Source organism: Homo sapiens, chromosome 22 (assembly GCF_000001405.40).
Source record: "Homo sapiens chromosome 22, GRCh38.p14 Primary Assembly".
In the NCBI taxonomy this organism is placed as follows: Eukaryota; Metazoa; Chordata; class Mammalia; order Primates; family Hominidae; genus Homo; species Homo sapiens.
The window spans coordinates 38,449,724-38,467,947 of NC_000022.11; the positions used below are offsets into that span (position 1 = coordinate 38,449,724).

At 57.6% G+C, this 18,224-nt stretch overlaps 1 protein-coding gene and 1 long non-coding RNA gene across 2 annotated transcripts in view, besides 6 other annotated features; both read right to left on the bottom strand.

The window, feature by feature from the left end:
* The window catches only part of KCNJ4 (potassium inwardly rectifying channel subfamily J member 4), a 28,873-nt gene extending 23,397 nt beyond the window's left edge, over positions 1–5,476 (bottom strand). Inside the window, exon 1 of the mRNA NM_152868.3 lies at positions 5,257–5,476. The gene's annotated coding sequence lies outside the window, so the exon portion shown is untranslated. The remainder of the gene's footprint in view (positions 1–5,256) is intronic.
* Positions 2,134–2,753: an enhancer, noted in NCBI's record as "H3K4me1 hESC enhancer chr22:38847863-38848482 (GRCh37/hg19 assembly coordinates)". NCBI's record gives its function as "activates a minimal SCP1, AML or CMV promoter by ChIP-STARR-seq in naive H9 embryonic stem cells {active_cell/tissue: H9 hESC(naive)}" and the evidence as "EXISTENCE:reporter gene assay evidence [ECO:0000049][PMID:30033119]".
* Positions 2,754–3,372: an enhancer, noted in NCBI's record as "H3K4me1 hESC enhancer chr22:38848483-38849101 (GRCh37/hg19 assembly coordinates)". NCBI's record gives its function as "activates a minimal SCP1, AML or CMV promoter by ChIP-STARR-seq in naive H9 embryonic stem cells {active_cell/tissue: H9 hESC(naive)}" and the evidence as "EXISTENCE:reporter gene assay evidence [ECO:0000049][PMID:30033119]".
* On the bottom strand, positions 7,599–11,945 carry LOC124905116 (uncharacterized). Its single transcript, XR_007068096.1, has 2 exons — positions 11,764–11,945; positions 7,599–7,946 (listed from the first exon to the last, which is right to left on the bottom strand). It is a non-coding gene; the product is annotated as an uncharacterized LOC124905116 (long non-coding RNA).
* Positions 11,684–12,184: an enhancer, noted in NCBI's record as "H3K4me1 hESC enhancer chr22:38857412-38857912 (GRCh37/hg19 assembly coordinates)". NCBI's record gives its function as "activates a minimal SCP1, AML or CMV promoter by ChIP-STARR-seq in naive H9 embryonic stem cells {active_cell/tissue: H9 hESC(naive)}" and the evidence as "EXISTENCE:reporter gene assay evidence [ECO:0000049][PMID:30033119]".
* Positions 13,755–14,254: an enhancer, noted in NCBI's record as "H3K4me1 hESC enhancer chr22:38859483-38859982 (GRCh37/hg19 assembly coordinates)". NCBI's record gives its function as "activates a minimal SCP1, AML or CMV promoter by ChIP-STARR-seq in naive H9 embryonic stem cells {active_cell/tissue: H9 hESC(naive)}" and the evidence as "EXISTENCE:reporter gene assay evidence [ECO:0000049][PMID:30033119]".
* Positions 15,681–16,182: an enhancer, noted in NCBI's record as "H3K4me1 hESC enhancer chr22:38861409-38861910 (GRCh37/hg19 assembly coordinates)". NCBI's record gives its function as "activates a minimal SCP1, AML or CMV promoter by ChIP-STARR-seq in primed H9 embryonic stem cells {active_cell/tissue: H9 hESC(primed)}" and the evidence as "EXISTENCE:reporter gene assay evidence [ECO:0000049][PMID:30033119]".
* Positions 18,135–18,204: a silencer, noted in NCBI's record as "silent region_13719". NCBI's record gives its function as "represses an Ori minimal core promoter by ATAC-STARR-seq in GM12878 lymphoblastoid cells {active_cell/tissue: GM12878}" and the evidence as "EXISTENCE:reporter gene assay evidence [ECO:0000049][PMID:35858748]".

Genomic DNA, 18,224 nt, shown 5'->3' on the forward strand with positions numbered 1-18,224 from the left:
AGCCTGTTTCCAGCCAGCCACTTCCCCTTGCTGAGCCTCAGTTTCCCCTTCTGTAAATGAGAATCATCTATGTCCAAAGTCTTCCAGGTTCACGACAGGGACCCCGTGTTGGGCCACGGGGCCAGGATTGGTCAAGACCTTTGGGAGTGGGGGGCCAAGACCAGAGCAAGCCAGAGCGTGAGCTCACCCCTGCTCCCCATGCTGCACCCCACCCACCACCCCGTGAGCGCCCGTGTGCGCGCCTGCAGGAGCGCGCGTGTGTGACTCAAGGTCTATTCATAGCCGAGCTCCACCAGCTGCAGCGTCACAAGCAGAGGGGCCTCAGCCCATATTATTATTTCAATTACCATCTGAATTAAAAGTTTGAGCAGCGATCAGCCCACGTAGCGAGGGGAAGAGGGAACAGGAGAAAAATAAAGATGAAAAGGAGAAGAAGGGCTGTGACTGGCGATCCCCCACACCCCAAGGAGGGCTGAGTCCGCAGAGGAGGCTTAAAGGTTATGCCAACCCCTAGGATTCCCGCCTGCCCCTTGCCAGGACCCACAGTCCTCCCATCGTTGGGAGGAGCGCTTTTCGACAGCAGCCCAACCACAGCTACTCGGTGGAAATAGATCTTTCAGCCCAGGTTCACATGGATGGGTGGACATCACTCGGAGAGGGTGAGGGACTGACCTAAGGTCACACAGAGAGCCACCCAAGGAAGTTGTCTCCAAGACCCTCTCCTGCCAGCCAGGTCCCACTGACCTCACCAGGCTCTGTAGCACATGTGCCATTTCCCTTCTGCTCCCCTCTCCCTGCGCCGATAACTTTCCTCCTGCAGCCCTAGCTTGGAGCCAGCCCTCTCTCAGCCCTCTGCATTCCCGACCTCACACCTCATGCCACCACCGTCAGCCCAAAGGCCCCTCCTCACTCACTGGCACAGGGGACAGAGCCCTGGGCCAGGAGACAGGCAGCCTGGCCCTAATCTAACTCTCTGGGCACCTTCGGGCAGGTCATTCCTTGTCTCTGGGCCTCAGTCTTCCCATCTATGAAATGAGTTCTCCCCTAAGATGCATGGTGGTATCTGTCTTCAGAATGGAGCCCCCAGAGGAGCCAGAGGATCCCTGAGGGGGTGTCACGCTGTGGGGGCGTCTAGACCATCTCCTGCCAAGCCCCAGCCCCAGGGAGGAACGTTTTCCACTCTTTCCCCAGGGAAGCCCCAGAGACAGCCCCCGAGAATCAGACTAGTCTGAACTCACACCCAGGCTCCTCTGCTGTCTTACTGTGTGACCCTGGACAAATCACATAGATTCTCTGAGCCATGGCCCTTCCATCTATAACACGGGGACATCAAATCAACATTGCCATGGAGAATTAAATGGGAATTTGCAAAAGCTCCTAGCCCAGTGCCTGGCGAGCAAATGTGTTTCCTCGCTGGGAAGCGGGGAAGCGATGGGCACTGCTTCCCAGCTCCTCTTTGGGAAACACCAAAGACTCCTAGGATTTTGGAAGTGGGGATGTTATTCGGCCTCACCCGTAAGGCGAGAGTCACCTGGCAGGTGCTCATCTGGCTCTGCTTGAATACCTCTAGGATTGAGGAGCCCACTATCTCACAAAACAACCACAGCTGCTCCCTATCTTGCTCCACCTCCAGCTCTGGGAATTTTCTAGAATGGAGCATAAGCTTCCAGTTAACCCCAAATCCAACCTGTCCTTGCCTGGGACTGCCTGAAACTGGCTTTAAAATGAGACTGAAAGGAGTTCTTCAAAGAGACCAATAGAGGGAGGGGATTAGTGCCCAAGGACAGTGGGGTGAGGGGATCTGGAGAGAAGGGAGGGAGAAAGGAGGTGGCCGAATTCAGAGCTGGGCCCTCAAAGCTCCTGGGTCCTGTCTGGGCTTGCCACAGTGTTACACAGGGACATCTGTCTGTCTGCTTCCAGATAGAGCTGGGAGCCAGAAGCCCTGGATTCAGGCCCTGGCCCTGCTTCCTCCACCCCCAAACCATCACTGTGACCCTCATGGGTCCACTTCCCCCTCAGGCCTCAGTTTCCACTTTTGTAAAACAATGGCCCTGGCTCTGCTTCCTCCGCCCACAAACCATCACTGTGACCCTGATGGGTCTACTTCCCCCTCAGGCCTCAGTTTCCACTTTTGTAAAACGAAGGCATCAGACCAGTGATTTAAGCTCCAAACCTTCTGTCTGAATCCAGGCACCCTCCCACTCTACCCTGTCCAACCCCTGCCCAGCATGCTGGATCCACGGGCCCCTGAGTGTCTATGGTTTCAGAGTCAGAGGCCTTATCTCTACTCCTGTCTCCTGCTTTCATAGCTGTTGCCTTTGAGGATTCTGTCATCCCCATTTTACAGGTGGGGAGATGGAGGCATGAGGCATTGAAGCCAATTGCTCAAGGTCACAGAGGGTGATTTGAAATCCAGGGCTCCCTCCTCTGGGCCCAGGAGAGCCGCAGAACTTAAGGGCACCTTCTTTCAGGAGAATCGCCAAGATCTTAAGTGGCCAGCCGTTCTCTATACAGATGTGGACTCCACATGAGGCAAGGGGCTGCCCAAGGTCACAGAGCAAGGCACTGACAGACCAGGGTCCTGAACCAAGCCTCCCTGCCCCCAGGCTCCACCCAGACAGGGGGCTGGCAACATGACCTGACTTTCTGCCCTGGTCCTGGGATCTCCCCAAGACTGGAGCCCACGTCCTGCCTCTAGCCGCTGCCCCCAGAAGCCCCCGAGCATCTAGGGCTGAGATGGGAAGAGTGAGCAGGAAGACAGGAAAGAAAGTTGAGGGCTGGCCACTTGCCCCCGGCCCTCTGGCCCTCCCCTACTGCTCTCCTCGTGCAGGGGGAGCGGCGGCGGTGGTGATGTAATGCACTCGGCTTTCGTCCCGGTGCCAATCTCAGAAGAGAGACGACAGATTGCGTGAGCCAAATTTGGCATCCTAGGGGGAGAGGCATGAAAAGTGGAGATGTGGAGGAGCAGAGAGGAGCCTGGGGTGGTGCAGGAGGAGCCCCCTGCCCTACAGCCCCGAGGTGCCTCCCCTCCCTCCCCTCAGGGCCCCCATCTCTTCCCCAGCTAGCCTGGCCCTGGGGCCTCCCCTCCTCACTCTGAGGGGCCAGCCTGGCTTCTCCCCGGACCCCTTGAGCCCGGCACTGCCAGGCCTACCCGCCACCCCCACCCCACACTGCTCCAGCTCTGTTTCCCACCGCCGCTAGTTTCCTGGTTACCATGTTGCCGGTTGTCATGTCGCTTACATGTCCTCGTGACTCAGTGGTCCCCGCAGAGGGGCCCCCTCCTCCTCACACCCCCCTTAGCACTCGCCCCCGCCTCCCCCAGATCCACATTAAGAACCAGCCCGCCCTGTAAGCCTACACTGTTCCTCCTCCCCTTCCTTCTTATCCTAAGCTAAGACATCTTCTCACAGCATCTCCCAGAGCTACTTCATTCTCTCTTTCGCAAATGTCTACGAACCTACTATGCTCCAGGCTGGCGCACGCGGCTTTCACAGACCTGACACAGTCTGGAAACTGCTCAACACCCTGATGAAGTCAGTATCATCATACCTATTCTCCAGTTGAAGAAACTGAGGTTCAGAGAGGTCAAGCCACCCACCCAAGGTCACCCAGCAGAAACTCAACCAGCTCTGCCTGGTCACAGCCACTCCAGAGGATTTTCTGAGAGAAGAGCTTTCTTTTCAAGGATAACCCAAAGGGCCATGAGGAATTGTACCCCAGATTCCCCCTCTAATCCTGGACACTCCTCCTTCGTCAGCTATTTCCGCCATATTCCCACTGCCCCACGCCCACCTCCACCCACTAGCTGTTCATCTCTCTTAAGGTAAAGTGAGTCTTTACTCCCATCTCCCCAGTGCTTTCCCCAGCCTGTGAACAGCCCACTGCTCATTGAGCCCAGGGCCCGCCTTGGAGGTCACTGGGGCAGGGAGTGACGTCCCCATGCCACAGATGTGGAAGATGACGGTTGGGAGGAGAGTGACCAGCCCAGGGGGCTGCTCTCCCAGCCACCTGAGCTAATTTCTGGGAGGCTGAATGGAGGACATATGAGACCCACTGCCCAGTGTGGAACACCCCAGAAAGAGTCCCTCCTCCCAGTGAGAATGGAGTGGAATGTTCTAGGCTCAGCCCTTCCAACTCCAGTTGGGATATGGGTCAGTTCAGTGGCCAACAGTCTCTGTTCCCACCATGCTGCACCCATCTCTTACCCCAGCTGCCCTGGTCCACCTTTTGCTCCCCTCAGCACAGGCCAAGCCAGGGCCACAGTGAGGCTCTTGGGCCCCTAAAGTCCTGCTAACTGCCCCCAAAAGGCCTGAAGCCATGGAGGTCATGGGACTGGATGTGGGGGAGAACACACACACACACGGCTCCAACCCTTCTCTGGGCCTCCCTCCCTGAGTTCCCCACTTCCCCCAAACCTGCTGCTGAACATTCTACTGCTCTTGAGGCCCTGCTCTGTCAGCTGGCCAGGCTGCCCTGCCTCTAGCCCGCCGCTCCACCCCACCCAGCTTGCCACCTCCCAACTCCCTGCATCCTGTCCATCCTGAAGCAGGGACACTGGGGGCAGAAATGTGGGTAGGGGGCAGGGAGGCTGACACTGGTGGGGGGACATTTGGCAGGTTGCAGGGGAAGTTCTCCCTGCGGGAGGCTCATTGAGACCTCTCTTGCCTTGGGGTGCTCCCTACACACGGAGGAAAAAGCAGCCTCTGCCTCCCTCCCCAGCCTGTGTCTATCACTGTGAACGTGCAGTGCCTCCTCTACCAATCCCTGCCCCTGCGCCCTGGGGTCGTGTGGCGCCAAGTAGGTGCTCAAAACATGAGAAGTGAGATTTCGTTCTTCAGATCACAGGGCCATTTGCAACGAGGATGCAGCTGGGGAGGCGGAAAGGCGGCATCCCCCACCTTGCCACAAGTCACCTGCCTTGAAGCTCCCCGGCATGACAACTGGGGTGGGTGGAGGCAGGGAAAGGTCATGGCTGGGGCAGGAGGTCAAGACCCCTTCCACCCACCTCTCTCCCCCTTTCCAGGCCACAACCCAGACCGCGACGCTCCCAGACGGACAGACGGACAGAGCCCGCCCGTGGAGCCCGCCCGCTCCCGGGGAGTCACGGGACCGCGCGCGCGGCGCCGGGCAGCCGGGACCCGGCTCCGGATCAGGTGCGGAGCGGGCGGGGCCGGAGCGGCGGGCCCGGGACACACAGACACGCACGCGGCGGGACAAACTGACGGACAGCGCCCGGGGTGGGCGAGCGCGGCTTACCGCTGGGCGGAGGGTCCGACGAGAGTCCGGGAGGCGGCGAGCGGGCGCTACATCCCAAGGCGCGATCCGGCGGGCGGCGTCCCGGGCGCGGAAAGGGGAGTCCCGGCGCCCCCTGCCCGCGAACTCGGCCGGCCGGCCCGCGCTCCCCTCCCCGGCTGCCGCTCGGTCTGCGCGTGGGTCTTGGGGTCTCCGCGCGTCCCGGCCGTCCCGCGCCGCTCCCCGCGGGCCGCCCAACTTTCAGCGCTGCCCCGCGCCGCGCCCTCGGCGCCGCCTCGGCGTCAGCATCGTCGGGCCCGGCCGGGCTCACAGCGCGGGGGTCCGGGGGCCCGGGGCGCCCCGCCGCCCGCGCCCCCCACCCCCGCTGCAGGCGCCCTCCCCGCCGCCGTCCCCCGCTGCGCCCAGCTCCCTCGCTGTCACCCGCTCCTGCTCGCGCGCTCTGCCCCCGGCCCTGCGCTCCACTCCCGGCCCCGCTGCGCTCGGCCCCGGCCCCGCGACCCCTCGGCCTCCCGGCCTGGGGTCGCCCTCCCCGCCCCCGCCGGCCGGGCTCTGTCGCCACCTCCCCGACCGCTCTCGCGTCTCTCTCCTGCCGCCGGGGTCTCCGCCGCGCTCGCGTCCCGGTCCCTCTCCCGGCCTCCCTGCCTCCTGCGGCCCCGCTCGCCCTCTGCCCGCGGGGTCTCCGTCTCCGTCGCGGTCGCCCGCCGGCCTCCCCCCGCCTCCCTCTGCCCGCGCTGCCTCTCTCCCCTGCGCGTCTCTGTCCGTCTCCCTCGCGGCCCCTGTCCTTCTCTGTCTCTCCCCCTCCCACTCTCCGTGCGGCCCCCTCTGTCTCGGACCCCGGCCCCCGCCTTGGCCGCGTCCCCGGCTCGCCCGGGAGCCCGAGCTCCCGCCGCCCGCGGCGCGCCGAGAACTCCCAACTCGCGGCACGCCGCCCCGCTTTGCGAGACTTTCGCCCCTCCTCACACGTGACCCGCGCCCCACTGCGGAGGCCGCGCGCCCCCCAGCCCGGGAGCCCCGGCTGCCCGCGGGACCCCGCCCTGCCCGCCCCTCGGCCTAACCCGGCCTCAAGCCCCCTCCCGCGGGGCCCGCGGCGCGGAGCAGGGGCTGGGGCGGGGGGCTGCTGGCCCCGCTCCTGCCCTGGATCCTGCCCGGGTTTTCCTCCTCGCCCCAGGAGCGCTCCTCCCAGAACCCGTTCCTGGATCCGCTCCCGGGTTTTGTGCCCCCCCCCCAAAAGGGGGCAGGTGGAGAGGGTTCCTCCGAGCCGGGAAGGGGGGTGGGTGGGAGCTGGTCCCTCTGGGGTCCCACGGAGTCCGCCCCTCTCCTTAGCGGTCCTCGTACTCTCCCAAAGTACCGCCGGTCAAGGACCCGAAGCACCTCACTCTGGGAGTCTGAGGGGGCCCTATTGGAGGGACCCTCGCGATCACTCAGTCACCACTGCCCCATTTTACAGATGGCGAGACTGGGTACCAGAGAGGGTCAGAAACTCGGCCAAGGTCACCCAGAGATGACAAAGCCAGGCCAAACCCTAGTCTCTTATTCTCTGTCGCTCTCCATTACCCCAAGCTGTCAGGCCTGGGCCCCACACTCTGGGGTGTCAGGGAACCCCCAGCACCCACAGCACCTGTCTAGCCAGCTACATCCTGACCATCCTGCCACGTCACTCTAGCCCTCCGAGGAGACAGGAGGGAAAGTGCTCCTCCTTCCAGGGTGGTAGGACGAGAGAACACCTGCAGTTAGACAGCCAGCAAAACTTCCCTGGGAGTCTGGCCATCACCGACTAGCCCCATTACAGAGAGGGAGAGACCGAGGCACCCCAAAGCCAGGTGGAGAACTGATGAAATCTGAAATCCCCTCTGGCTCTCCTGAGCCTCGAGGATGTCAGCATAAGAACAGCAACACACAAACCACCACAAGTGTTTCCCTTCCTCGTGGGCTCTCCCTACTCAAAAGGATTCAGTCCCAACTCCTCAGTGTGGTATAGTCAGGCCCCACCTTATCCGGCATCCCACATCCCATAAATCCACAGGTACACCCTGATTCCACAGATTCCAGAACACGCCACAGGCCTCCACACCTCTCTGCCTGCACGCACTGTTCCTCCTCACTAAGATATCCTTCCACCTTTTTTGCCCAGAGAATTCCTGCTGTTCCCCAAGCCCAGCCTCAGTGCCACTTCCTTGAGAAGGCCTCCTGATGACCCCAGCAGAAGTCATTTATCACCCACTCATTCATTCAACCAGCACTAGGCACCCACCACATACCAGCCCCTGGGCGGGGCACAAGTATGGTTCTTGCTTAGTGGGATGAGGAGTCAGGCTAACCTAGGCTCAAAAGCACCTAGGAGCTACTTGACCTTGAACAAGTTTTTATTTAATCTGTCTGTAAATTGAGGACCCTAACGTCCTCCATTCCCAAGGGGTAGATTAAGTGAGGTGGATGCACAAGAAATACACAGATCATGGTAGGCGCTCAATAAATGTGGCCATCCTTTCTCACGGCTCTCTCCGACTGTGCAGACCTCCAGAACGCACGTCCTGTTCCACGCCTCTCCCTGGTTACCCTGCTGTGTCCTCACAGGCAGACAGCCAGGACTGATGTTCCATCACATGAATGCTCAGTGCGTGGATGCAGGGGAGACTCAAGCAGCCTGAGTGCCCTGTGGGCAAGAGATGTGTGCCTGGTCTTTTTCACCTTTTCTGTGGATGGAAAGTGGGAGGATGAGGGTGAGACAAATGACCTGCCTGGCCACGGGCCTGACCTGGTAGCCATCCTGGGAGTGTGGGGTGCAGGGAGAGGAGGAAGGGGCAGGAAGGAGGGGAAAATGCAGACAGAGATGTCTGTAGATCCAAAGCATCTACTGTCACAGAATCAGTCTCCTGATGCCAAGTCCCTGGGCACAAACTTGAAGATGGGATGGGGGCTCTGGGGCAAGGAGGGTTAGCTTGCCGGGCCTGGGCCGCACCCTGGGGCTGCTGTTCATCCTGCAAGGAGACTGGACTGGGAGGAGGTAGGGAGAGGCAAGCAGAGGAGCTCCAGGCAGGGAGAGGTTCGGAGGCCCCAGGAAAGAGCCCTTTCTCTCCTCTCCAGCCCTGTGTGACCCTGGGCAGCTCAACTCTCCTCTCTGGGCCTTTGTTTCCTCATATGTAAAATGAGAACTATAATACCCACTTTGAGCTTCGGGGTGTGTGTGTGTGTGTGTGTGTGTGTGTGTGTGTGTGTGTGTGTGTTTGTTGTTGTTGCTGTTTTTAGATAGGATCTGGCTCTGTTGCCCAGGCTGGAGTGCAGTGGCGCAATCTCAGCTCACTGCAACCTCCGCCTCCTGGGCTTAAGCCATCCTCCTACCTCAGCCTCCCGAGTAGCTGGGACCACAGGCATGTGCCACCATGCCAGGCTAATTTTTGTATTTTTTGTAGAGATGGGGTTTTGTCATGTTGTCCAGGCTAGTCTCAAACTCTTGAGTTCAAGCGATCCACCTTCCTTGGCCTCCCAAAGTGCTAGGATTACAGGTGTGAACCACCGCACGTGGTCGAGCAGCTGTTTTGAGGATAATCAAAGACTAAAGGAAGACTTCACATTGTTCACCTTCCGTGTGAGTAGCCTCTAGCCCTGTGTGAGGTTGGGGGCAGAGATGGAAATGGGCATGCAGAGGCCTGGGGGCAGTGTGAGGGAGTTGAGAAAAGTCTTGGGTGTCAGAACCTGTGTGACCCTGGGCAAGATGCGTGTCCTCTCTGGACCTCAGAGGCCTCGTCTGTAGTGGGACAGTGTGGACTAGGTCTCCCAAGGGTAAGTGGGCTTTGTCATGATCCACCACAGATGCGCCCCCCCACCAGACGGAATGAGGACAACCTGCTTCCCCTGCACTCGTACCCCTAGCTCAGCACTATCCAGACCTTCGCAGGGATTGTCTCCTTTGATTCTTGCAAGAATTCTCCAGGCACCTGTTACCAATGGGGAAACTGAGGCACGGGCAGTAATGCCATGAGTGGCAGGGCCGGTGTGGCCAGGAACAATGGTCTGGAGGAAGGAGGTTCGCTCTGAAGTTTGGAGGAGAATGCTTGTAAAACCTCTGTCCACCATACACTTTGGTAAAACGTCCTGGCCATCTCCATTCTCCATTCTCTCCTTTGATCCTCACAAGATCTCCGTGGGGTACGGGCTATGCCTGTCTTTACCTCACAGGTGAGGACTCTGAACTGACACACAGAGAGGGGAAGTGGCTTGTCTGGGGTCAGGCAGTAAGCAACTGTCTGGGCCAGGATTTGAACCAGGCTCAACTTCCACTTTCTGGGGAAAGGTCATTCCAGGCTAGCAGAGCACTCACTAACCGATTTACTGTGGGGTCCTGCTCACACCTCCTGGGTCCTACAGGGGCCCTGAGAGCCTGTGTAGAGGGCTGAGAGGAGTGGAAGGGAGGGCAACTTGGGCCAGGCAGGTGGACAGCTGGGGAGGAGACGGAAAAGGCCACTTCAAAATGCTAGAGTCACAGAGGCCAGAGGTTTTTGTCCTAGAGAGTGTCTTAAAGTTCAGCCAGGGCCGGGCGCGGTGGCTCACGCCTGTAATCCCAGCACTTTGTGAGGCCGAGGCGGGCAGATCACTTGAGGTCAGGTGTTTGAGGCCAGCCTGGCTAACATGGTGAAACCTCGACTCTACTAAAAATACAAAAATTAGCCAGGCACTGTGGTGCGCATCTGTAATCCAAGCTACTCGGGAGGCGAAGGCAGGAGAATCACTTGAACCCGGGAGGCAGAGGTTGCAGTGAGCTGAGATCGCGCCACTGCACTCCAGCCTGGGCTACAGAGCAAGACTCCATCTCAAAAAAAAAAAAAAAAAAAAAAAAAAAGGTCCAGCCAGCCCATTCTGCAGATGAGGCAAACTGAGGTAGCCCAGATACTTAGATTAGAAATCAGATCAGGACACAGCTGGCCTGCCTCGGAGCTCTAAAGTCCCAGGAGCTTCCAGGGGGTGAGGTCCAGAGGTGATTAAAGGGACACTGGGGGGCCAGAGGCCCAGAACCCATCCCAGCAGGCTGTGCCCTGGGGACAGAGGACTGTAGGGGTCTCTCCTGCCCTCCACCTCCACCCTCGCCCACCCCCCAGCACTCAGTAGTCACCAGGGTGGAATATTTTAGCACCTATAGAAAAACCGCCACAGACGGCCGTGGCAGCTGTTGCTAAGGAGACGCTCCCAAAATAGCCCCCCTCCGCCAACCTTTCCCGCTGCTGCTCCTGCTGTGGGGAGGGGAGGAGACCAGGCAGGGAGGGGGTGGCACATGAGTGTTCGCCCTAGGCTCACCCACCCACCCTGGCCCCTGGTGCCCACCCTGGCCCAAGACCTGGGCAGCCACAGGTCTGTGGAAGGGCAGGAGCTGTCCCATGCATGCCTGTGATCTCAGTCACAGTCCTCAGCTAGGGAAGAAGGTCACTCAGGTGATAGGAGAGGGGGGAGCAGAACCCCCGCACCCAAGACCCCCCAGCACACTCCCACACATACACAATTACAGGTTATCACAGTTCTCCACATCCACTGTACACACCACAAATACAGTCCCACGCATGCCCACCGAGGGGTACACACACATCAGCAAAGCTGCATCAGATGCACGGGTAAACGTCTGCCACAACTACACAACATCCACCTGCACACACACACCATGGAGCCGCAAAGACATGCTTTTATATCCACATATTCACACACCCATCCCAAATACACACGTACACCAATATATGCATGCCAGGCACACGGACACACACACACACCAGTGTACATATACCCTCACAGCACATGGACACACATATTCACAGATACACACAACTGTCCAAACACATGCCCAGCCTGTGGCATCTAAAGGGCAATCAGTTGTGTTACCCAGTAGACTCTGTCTGGGGTGCTGTGTCTTAGGGTTTCCAGAAATCCTTACTTAGTGGGGAACTTCTACAACCACAGGGCAGAGGGTAAGGAGGAGGTGGCAGGCAGGTGGATGAAGGGTTGTGTCTCTCTGAACCCCTTTAAGTCTGGGGACTAGATGATGACTGGTGCTCAGGAGAGCTGCCCTGGACCCACTTCTCGAAGGGGAAAGTGGAGTAGACTCTCACCCGCAGACTTGAAACTTCTGGGCACAGAGATTTCTGAGCCCCAGGGGCTGGGGCGATAAAGAGGACAAGATGGCAATTGGGTGGCAACTGTGATGGTCTGTGGCATGCGCAAGGCACGTTCCAGTTGGTGAGCCGCTTTCACACTCCATTATTTCACACGCTTGGTAACAGCTACTCTGAGATACTGGTGGAGGTGTCCCCATGTCTGAGTCTCAGAGAGGAGAGAGAACTCCACGACCACACAGTAAGTTACTAGCAGAGCTGGACCCATAACCCAAGGGGGTGCCAGCACCCAGCCCCAGTGCCTGGCACTTGGCTGCACTGCACGAACTTGGAAGGAGGCCACCGGGTGCAGGGCCTAGCTCTGCCCCTGATGAGCCCCGAGTTACTGGGGGGGCAGCCAGGCCCTCCATCTTCCCACCTGGAAAGCTGAGAATGAATCCCCAGGGGTGTTTTCAAGCAGCGGCTTGTGGCCACCGTCAGGGCTGGGGAGTGGTGTTTGCCGGAAGTCCTCGGAATGCCAGCGCAAGGACGAAGGGTGGCCCAGCCTCTCCCCTCCTCGTTTGGCCAGCCGCGGTCTCTCTCCAGCCTCGCTCTGTGACTCCTGAATCCGGGCTCCGGGTCTTCGTTCGCGCCTCGTCACTCTGGAGACGCTGCGAGCGGCTTGCGGTTGCCGTAGGAACCTCGCCAGGGCCTCCGCGAGGCGCACGACTCCGCGCGCTGAGAGCCGCGTTTTGGTCACCGAGAGACACCTGTCGCCAGCGGCGAGGGGTGGGGGCGTCGCGGCCCGGGTTATTATGCTTTTCTTTTTAATTGAGGTGTAACTTACAAATAGTACAGCGAACATCTTAAAAGTACAGCTCTGCGGGGCGCGGTGGCGCACGCCTGTAATCCAGCACTTTGGGAGGCCGAGGCGGGAGGCTCACTTGAGCCCAGGAGTTCGAGACCAGCCTGGGCAACATAGCGAGACCCTGTCTTTTAGAAAAAAATAACAGTGTAATGGCGTGCACCTGTAGTCCCAGCTACTCGGGAGGCCGAGCCGGGAGAATGGCTTGAGCCCAGGAGTTCGAGGCTGCAGTGAGCTATCATTCCTGTCACTGCACTCCTCCTCCAGCCTGAGCAACAAGGCGAGACCCTGTCTCTTAAAAAGAAAAAAAAAGGTACAGCTCGATTAATTTTTCAGACATACTCATAAAACTCGTGTTACCACCACCATGATCAAGACACAGAAGACTTCCAGGCCCTAGAAGTCTCACATCTTCAGGAATAAACCAGTGAGGGAGAGGTCACCATCTGAAACCCTGGAGTTGTCTGTTTTTGCCCCTCTCTGCTCTGGCAGACCCTCTTTGGGCCTCAGTTGCCTGTGAAGGGAAGCAAGGAGCTGAGGTGACGTGCATTGCGTGGTTTATATCTTGCAAATCGCTTTAGATATTTAGCTAACTTTAACCCGGATAACTATTGTATGAGGTCGGTACTTGGTTTATACCCAGGTTAATGATGTGAACACTATAACTTGGAGAGATTAGCTAGTCTAAATTCAGATAGCTCTTAGGTGGTGGAGTTTGAGGGCCTAACTCATCTGTCTAACCTTAATGCTCATCTTTTCCTTCTTCCCTTCCTTGGCCTCTACAGGCCGGGCGCGGTGGCTCACGCCTGTAATCCCAGCACTTTGGGAGGCCGAGGCAGGTGGATCACCTGATGTAAGGACTTAAGAGACCCGCCTGACCAACATGGTGAAACCCTGTCTCTACTAAAAATCCAAAAATTAGCCGGGCGTGGTGGCAGGCGCCTGTAATCCCAGCTACTCCGGAGGCTGAGGCAGGAGAATCGCTTGAACCCGGGAGGTGGAGGTTGCAGTAAACTGAGATCGCACCACTGCACTCCAGCCTGGGTGAGAGAGTGAGACTCCGTCTGAAAATAATAATAATAATAAATAATAATGAATGGTACAAGTAAAAGGCACTGAGGGGCGGGGGGGCAGGCCACGTCTTATCTCCTCGCCTTTGTGCAATTAGTACCTTCTACTGGGGACTCTCTTCTCTTCCCCAAGGTTTTGTCTCCGAGGCAAGCTCCTACACACCCTCCAAAGCCCACTAGAGCATCATTTGCCCTAAAGCCTTCTTTAAGAGCAGTCCTCCCAGGGACTCCCTCCAACAGACAGTGATTGCCATTTTTCCTCTGTGCGGTCCAGTCCGTGCACAGGCACCCACCTCCCACAGCACCAGAAAGGCCCCTGGAGGCTGCACCTAAGTTCAACCCTCAAGGCGCCTGGTGCCCAGCTGGTCTTCAGTAAATGTGTTTGTAACTAAAACGGGAAGAGAGGTTTTGAACCTTGGTGTTTATAACCTTGGTGTGTCAGTAAAATGCGGCCCGCTGCCCCTGCCTCCTGTCACTCAAAATATATTGAGCTGGGGAAAGAGCTTCCCGAACACCTGGGGTGGAACCGCAGGGAGAGGAAGGCTGGGCCCACCCCGCACTCGGTTAGGAAATGGACTCGTCCGCGCCTCCGGGCGGGCGGGACCTCAGGGGCTGCCTGGGAAGAGGTCATTCCTTCCACGGGGGAGCGTCCACTCGCCTAGGCCAGAGGAAGACTTGGCGGCCTAGAGGAAGCTCTAGGGAGCCCCGGAAGCCCGGGACATAGCTTTCCTTCCAGGCCCCTGCCCGGTGAGAGACAGCCAATTAAGTGGAGTGATTTTCACTTTACACCCCTATTTCCTTCCACACAGAATTGGAGGCAGTTTGCAGGATATTCCAAACAGTGGTGAAATATAAGAAAGGGCTAGGACCAGAAAAAGAGAGCGAGCGAGAGAGATTATATATACCTATTTTTAAAAAATAATTGAGCAAGTCCCCCATTCTCTCTTCCATAAATCTGACTTTGAACGTAGAATTTGCTTTGTTAAGTGAGAAGAAAACAGTCCTTGCCCTTTGAGCTAAAGGAAATTTCCCTCTTTGCTTTCCCCTGCAGCAGGCACATTTTTGAGTGTTGGGAAATTGAGGCTCAGAGACGTGAGGGACTTGCTGGAATCCACCCAGCAGCAGGGACAGATCGTGAATGACCATGCAGGTGGCCAGAGTGCTGGCAGGGGCTAGAGCCAAATGTTTTCCGTGAGTAAAGGGTTTCCCCTTTTCTCCATGGGGAGCTTTGAAAGTCTCCACCTGGGAGCCTAGTGGGCACAAAAGAGGTGGGGCTAATTACTGTGGACAGAGCCTTAGGACTTTGGGGAGAGGAGAGCCATGTGACTGACCTTGGGGAGCAAGAGACAAATTTGAGCCCCGATTTCCTCATCTGTAAAATAAGGACATAGTATCCATTTCATAGGGACATCAGGAAAACTGGATGCAAAGAGCAATGGCTAAGCACCTGCAATACTTCATTTCTTTTTGAGACAGGGTCTCACTGTCACCCACGCCCAGTTTCAAGTAGAGTAGCGCAATCTCAGTTCACTGCAACCTTGACCTCCCAGGCTCAGGTGATCCTCCCAACTCAGCCTCTCAAGAAGCTGTAACTATAGGCACGTGCTACCACGCCTGGCTAATTTGTGTGTGTGTTTTTTTTTTTTTTTTTTTTGAGACGGAGTCTCACTCTGTCACCCAGGCTGGAGTGCAGTGGCCTGGTGTTGGCTCACTGCAACCTCTGCCTCCTGGGTTCAAGCGATTCTCCTGCCTCAGCCTCCCAAGTAGCTTGGATTACAGGCGCTCGCCACTAATCCGGCTAATCTTTGTATTTTTAGTAGAGACGGGGTTTCACCATATTGGTCAGGCTGGTCTCGAACTCCTGACCTCAGGTGATCCGCCCACCTCAGCCTCCCAAAGTGCTGAGATTACAGGCGTGAGCCACTGTGCCTGGCCATAATTTTTGTCTTTTTTTTTTTTTTTTTTTTGTAGCAATAGAGTTTCACCAGGTCGCCCAGGTTTGTCTCAAACTCCTGGGCTCAAGAGATTTGCCCACCTGGCCTCCCAAAGTGCTGAGGTTACAGGCATGAGCCACTGCGCCTGGCCTCTTTTTAGTTTTTTCTTTTTGAGACAAGGTCTCACTCTGTCACTTAGTTTGGAATACAGTGATGTAATCATAGCTCACTGCCGCGTTCAACTCCTGGGCTCAAGCGATCCTCCTGCTTCAGCGTCTCAAGTAGCTGGAGCCACAGGTTTGTCACCATGCCCGGCTAATCTTTTTTTTATTTTCTGTTTTCTTAATTTTTTGTAGAGACAAGTCTTGCTGTGTTGCCTTGACTGGTCTTGTACTCCTGGCCTCAAGTGATCCCCCTGCCTCTGCCTCCCAAAGTGCTGGGATTACAGGTGTGAACCACCGTGACTGGCCTACATCTGTCTTTATTTTTCCCATTTATCAGATGAGAAAGCTGAGGCCCAGAGAGGGGACGTGGCAGGCTCAAGGCCACAGTGGCAGGCCTGGGACAAGGTCTAGCCCCTGGAGCCATTCAGCTTGGGTTCCTTCCCCTCCAGCACCACGGTCCCTCCTCAGACTCTCCCTGGCCTTGGCCAGTTTCCCTGTGGTCTTGAGGAAATAAAGGGAAGGGGAGGATCCAGCCTCATTCCAGCCCCACGTCCCCCCCAACACACACAGTGGGGGCTGCTTCCCAGGAGGACAGATGTTTTCACCAAATGGCACTTGCACGTGCTTTTCTCTGGCTTGGGGAGGAGGTGGGCGCTGAGAAGGAAATGCCAGCTGGTTGGGCAGAGACAACCGCAGCCACACCTGAGGGATTTAAATAGCCTCCGCCTTCTCTGGGCACCGGCTGAGGAGGAGGCATCTGGGCAGGGTTGGAGGGGAGCGGGGAACAGAAGGGCCATTCGGAACCTGCCGCAGCTCAGGGATGAGCGCCTGGCTCCTCCTCCCAGAGGGACCTGGTCTAGGCACCTCACCTCCCTGGACCTCGAGGTTCATCCCCTGCAAAGCGAGGCTCTGAAGGCCGCTGAACCACGTGCCTGTTGATGGAAAGAACCTGAGTAACAGGCCTGACCCATGCCTGGCACCCAGATGCTCAGTACTTGACGGCTATTGGGGTCACCACCTCCCTGCCAGGGCAGGAGGGCCTGCTGCTGAGTCTCTGACAAATGAGCGTCCACCGGCCGCTCACCCACCTCTCGCGACAGGGTGCTCATCACCTGCCATGGCAACCCACAGTGTAAGGGAATGATTTCATGGTAGACCGTGTGTTGGAATCTGGGCTACAGGACTGCTTGGTGTCTGTGTGACCTCAAGCAAGTTATTTAGCCTCCCTGCCTCGCTTTCCCCATGTGTGAAATGAGAATGAGGCCACTGCTTCCTCACAGTGCTGTTTAGATGAGTGCCTTTGGAACTTTACAGTTAAACACGATCCCCAGGGGATTCGTGTGCACATCGGAGTCTGATTCACCCGGGAATGCCTGGGGAGGGGCTGAGATTCTGCATTCCCAACAAGCGGTAGCAATGCTGCTGGTCTTTGGACTGCGTTTGGGGTCTCAAAGGACTGCCTTGGCTGGGCGCGGTGGTTCACGCCTGTAATCCCCGCACTTTGGGAGGCTGAGGCAGGCAAATCATCTGAGGTCAGGAGTTCGAGACCAGCCTGGCCAACATGGTGAAACCCCATCTCTACTAAGAATACAAAAATTAGCCTGGCGTGGTGGCGGGCGCCTGTAATCCCAGCTACTTGGGAGGCTGAGGCATGAGAATCGCCTGAACCAGGGAGGCAGAGATTGCAGTGAGCAGAGATTGTGCCACTGCACCCCAGCCTGGGCCACAGAGCGAGACTCTGTCTCAAAAAAAAAAGGACTGCCTTTCCCTGGGAGGAAAAGTAGGGAAAGTAGGGGGCATAGGGAGCCATAGAAGGGTCTTGACCACTGAAGTGACAGATTTTTATCACAGAAAAGAGGCTGGCCATAGTGGCTTATGCCTGTAATCCCAGCATTTGGAAGGCTGAGGCAGGCAGATGGCCTGAGCACAAGAGTTCGAGACTAGCCTGGGCAACACAGTGAGACCCCATCTCTGTTTAAATACATTTGTCATGGAAAAGCCTCTCTGGTTATCTGTGGCAGGAGGTGGGAGTGGGAGGAGGTCCGTTATTTAGAGAGAGATGAGGGCGCTGAATGGGAGGAGGGCTTATTCAGGTCAAGGAGGGGAGGCTAAGGGCCCTCAGCTCACCTGGTCCACTCTTTCAGACGCAGAGACTTATATCCAGAGGGGGTGGTGGACCTGCTCAGACCACACAGCCCTGGGAGGACTCCCTCCCACCAGGGACCCTTCACTCCCCACCCTTCCTGGTGCTCAGCCCTCCTGGGTCTCTCCTGTCCTGTGTGTCCCTGTTTAACATCCTAGTAACACCAAGAAGAGGGAAGGCACGAACGAGGGCCCTGGATCTCCCTGACCAGCTTGACCTCCTGCCTACCCACAACAACCCGATTTTACAGGTGAGAAAATTGAGACCAAGAGAGAGGAAGGCCCACCGACCCAGGCTGCAGCCGAGGTCAGTCTGATTCTGCTGCTGAGTGGTGTGCCATTACCATTGTCCACCTGCAGCAAGATCGGGTCCCGACCGGGTGGACAACCAAATTAACAGACGGAGGTGGGGACTCCGCTTCCGGCTCGCCCCGCCCCACCCCACTCTCCCAGGGAGGGAGCTCCAGCTCCGGGAAGATGAGGACAATAGCAGGAATCGCCCCACAGGGTACTTCCACGTGCTGGCTCCTGCCAAGCGCTGGCACCAGTGTTATGGGGCCTGTGTACAGATGAGGAAACTGAGGCAGAGATTGGGGCTTGGTGGCAGGCCTCCAGTTTCTGCGGAGGGAAGGCAGAGGGCACTTGGGGCATGGGCGACATGGGTCGTGGCGGGCACCCGGCGCACACGGCAGCCGGGCGCAGGCCAGAAGCCCCCCCGCGTCGCC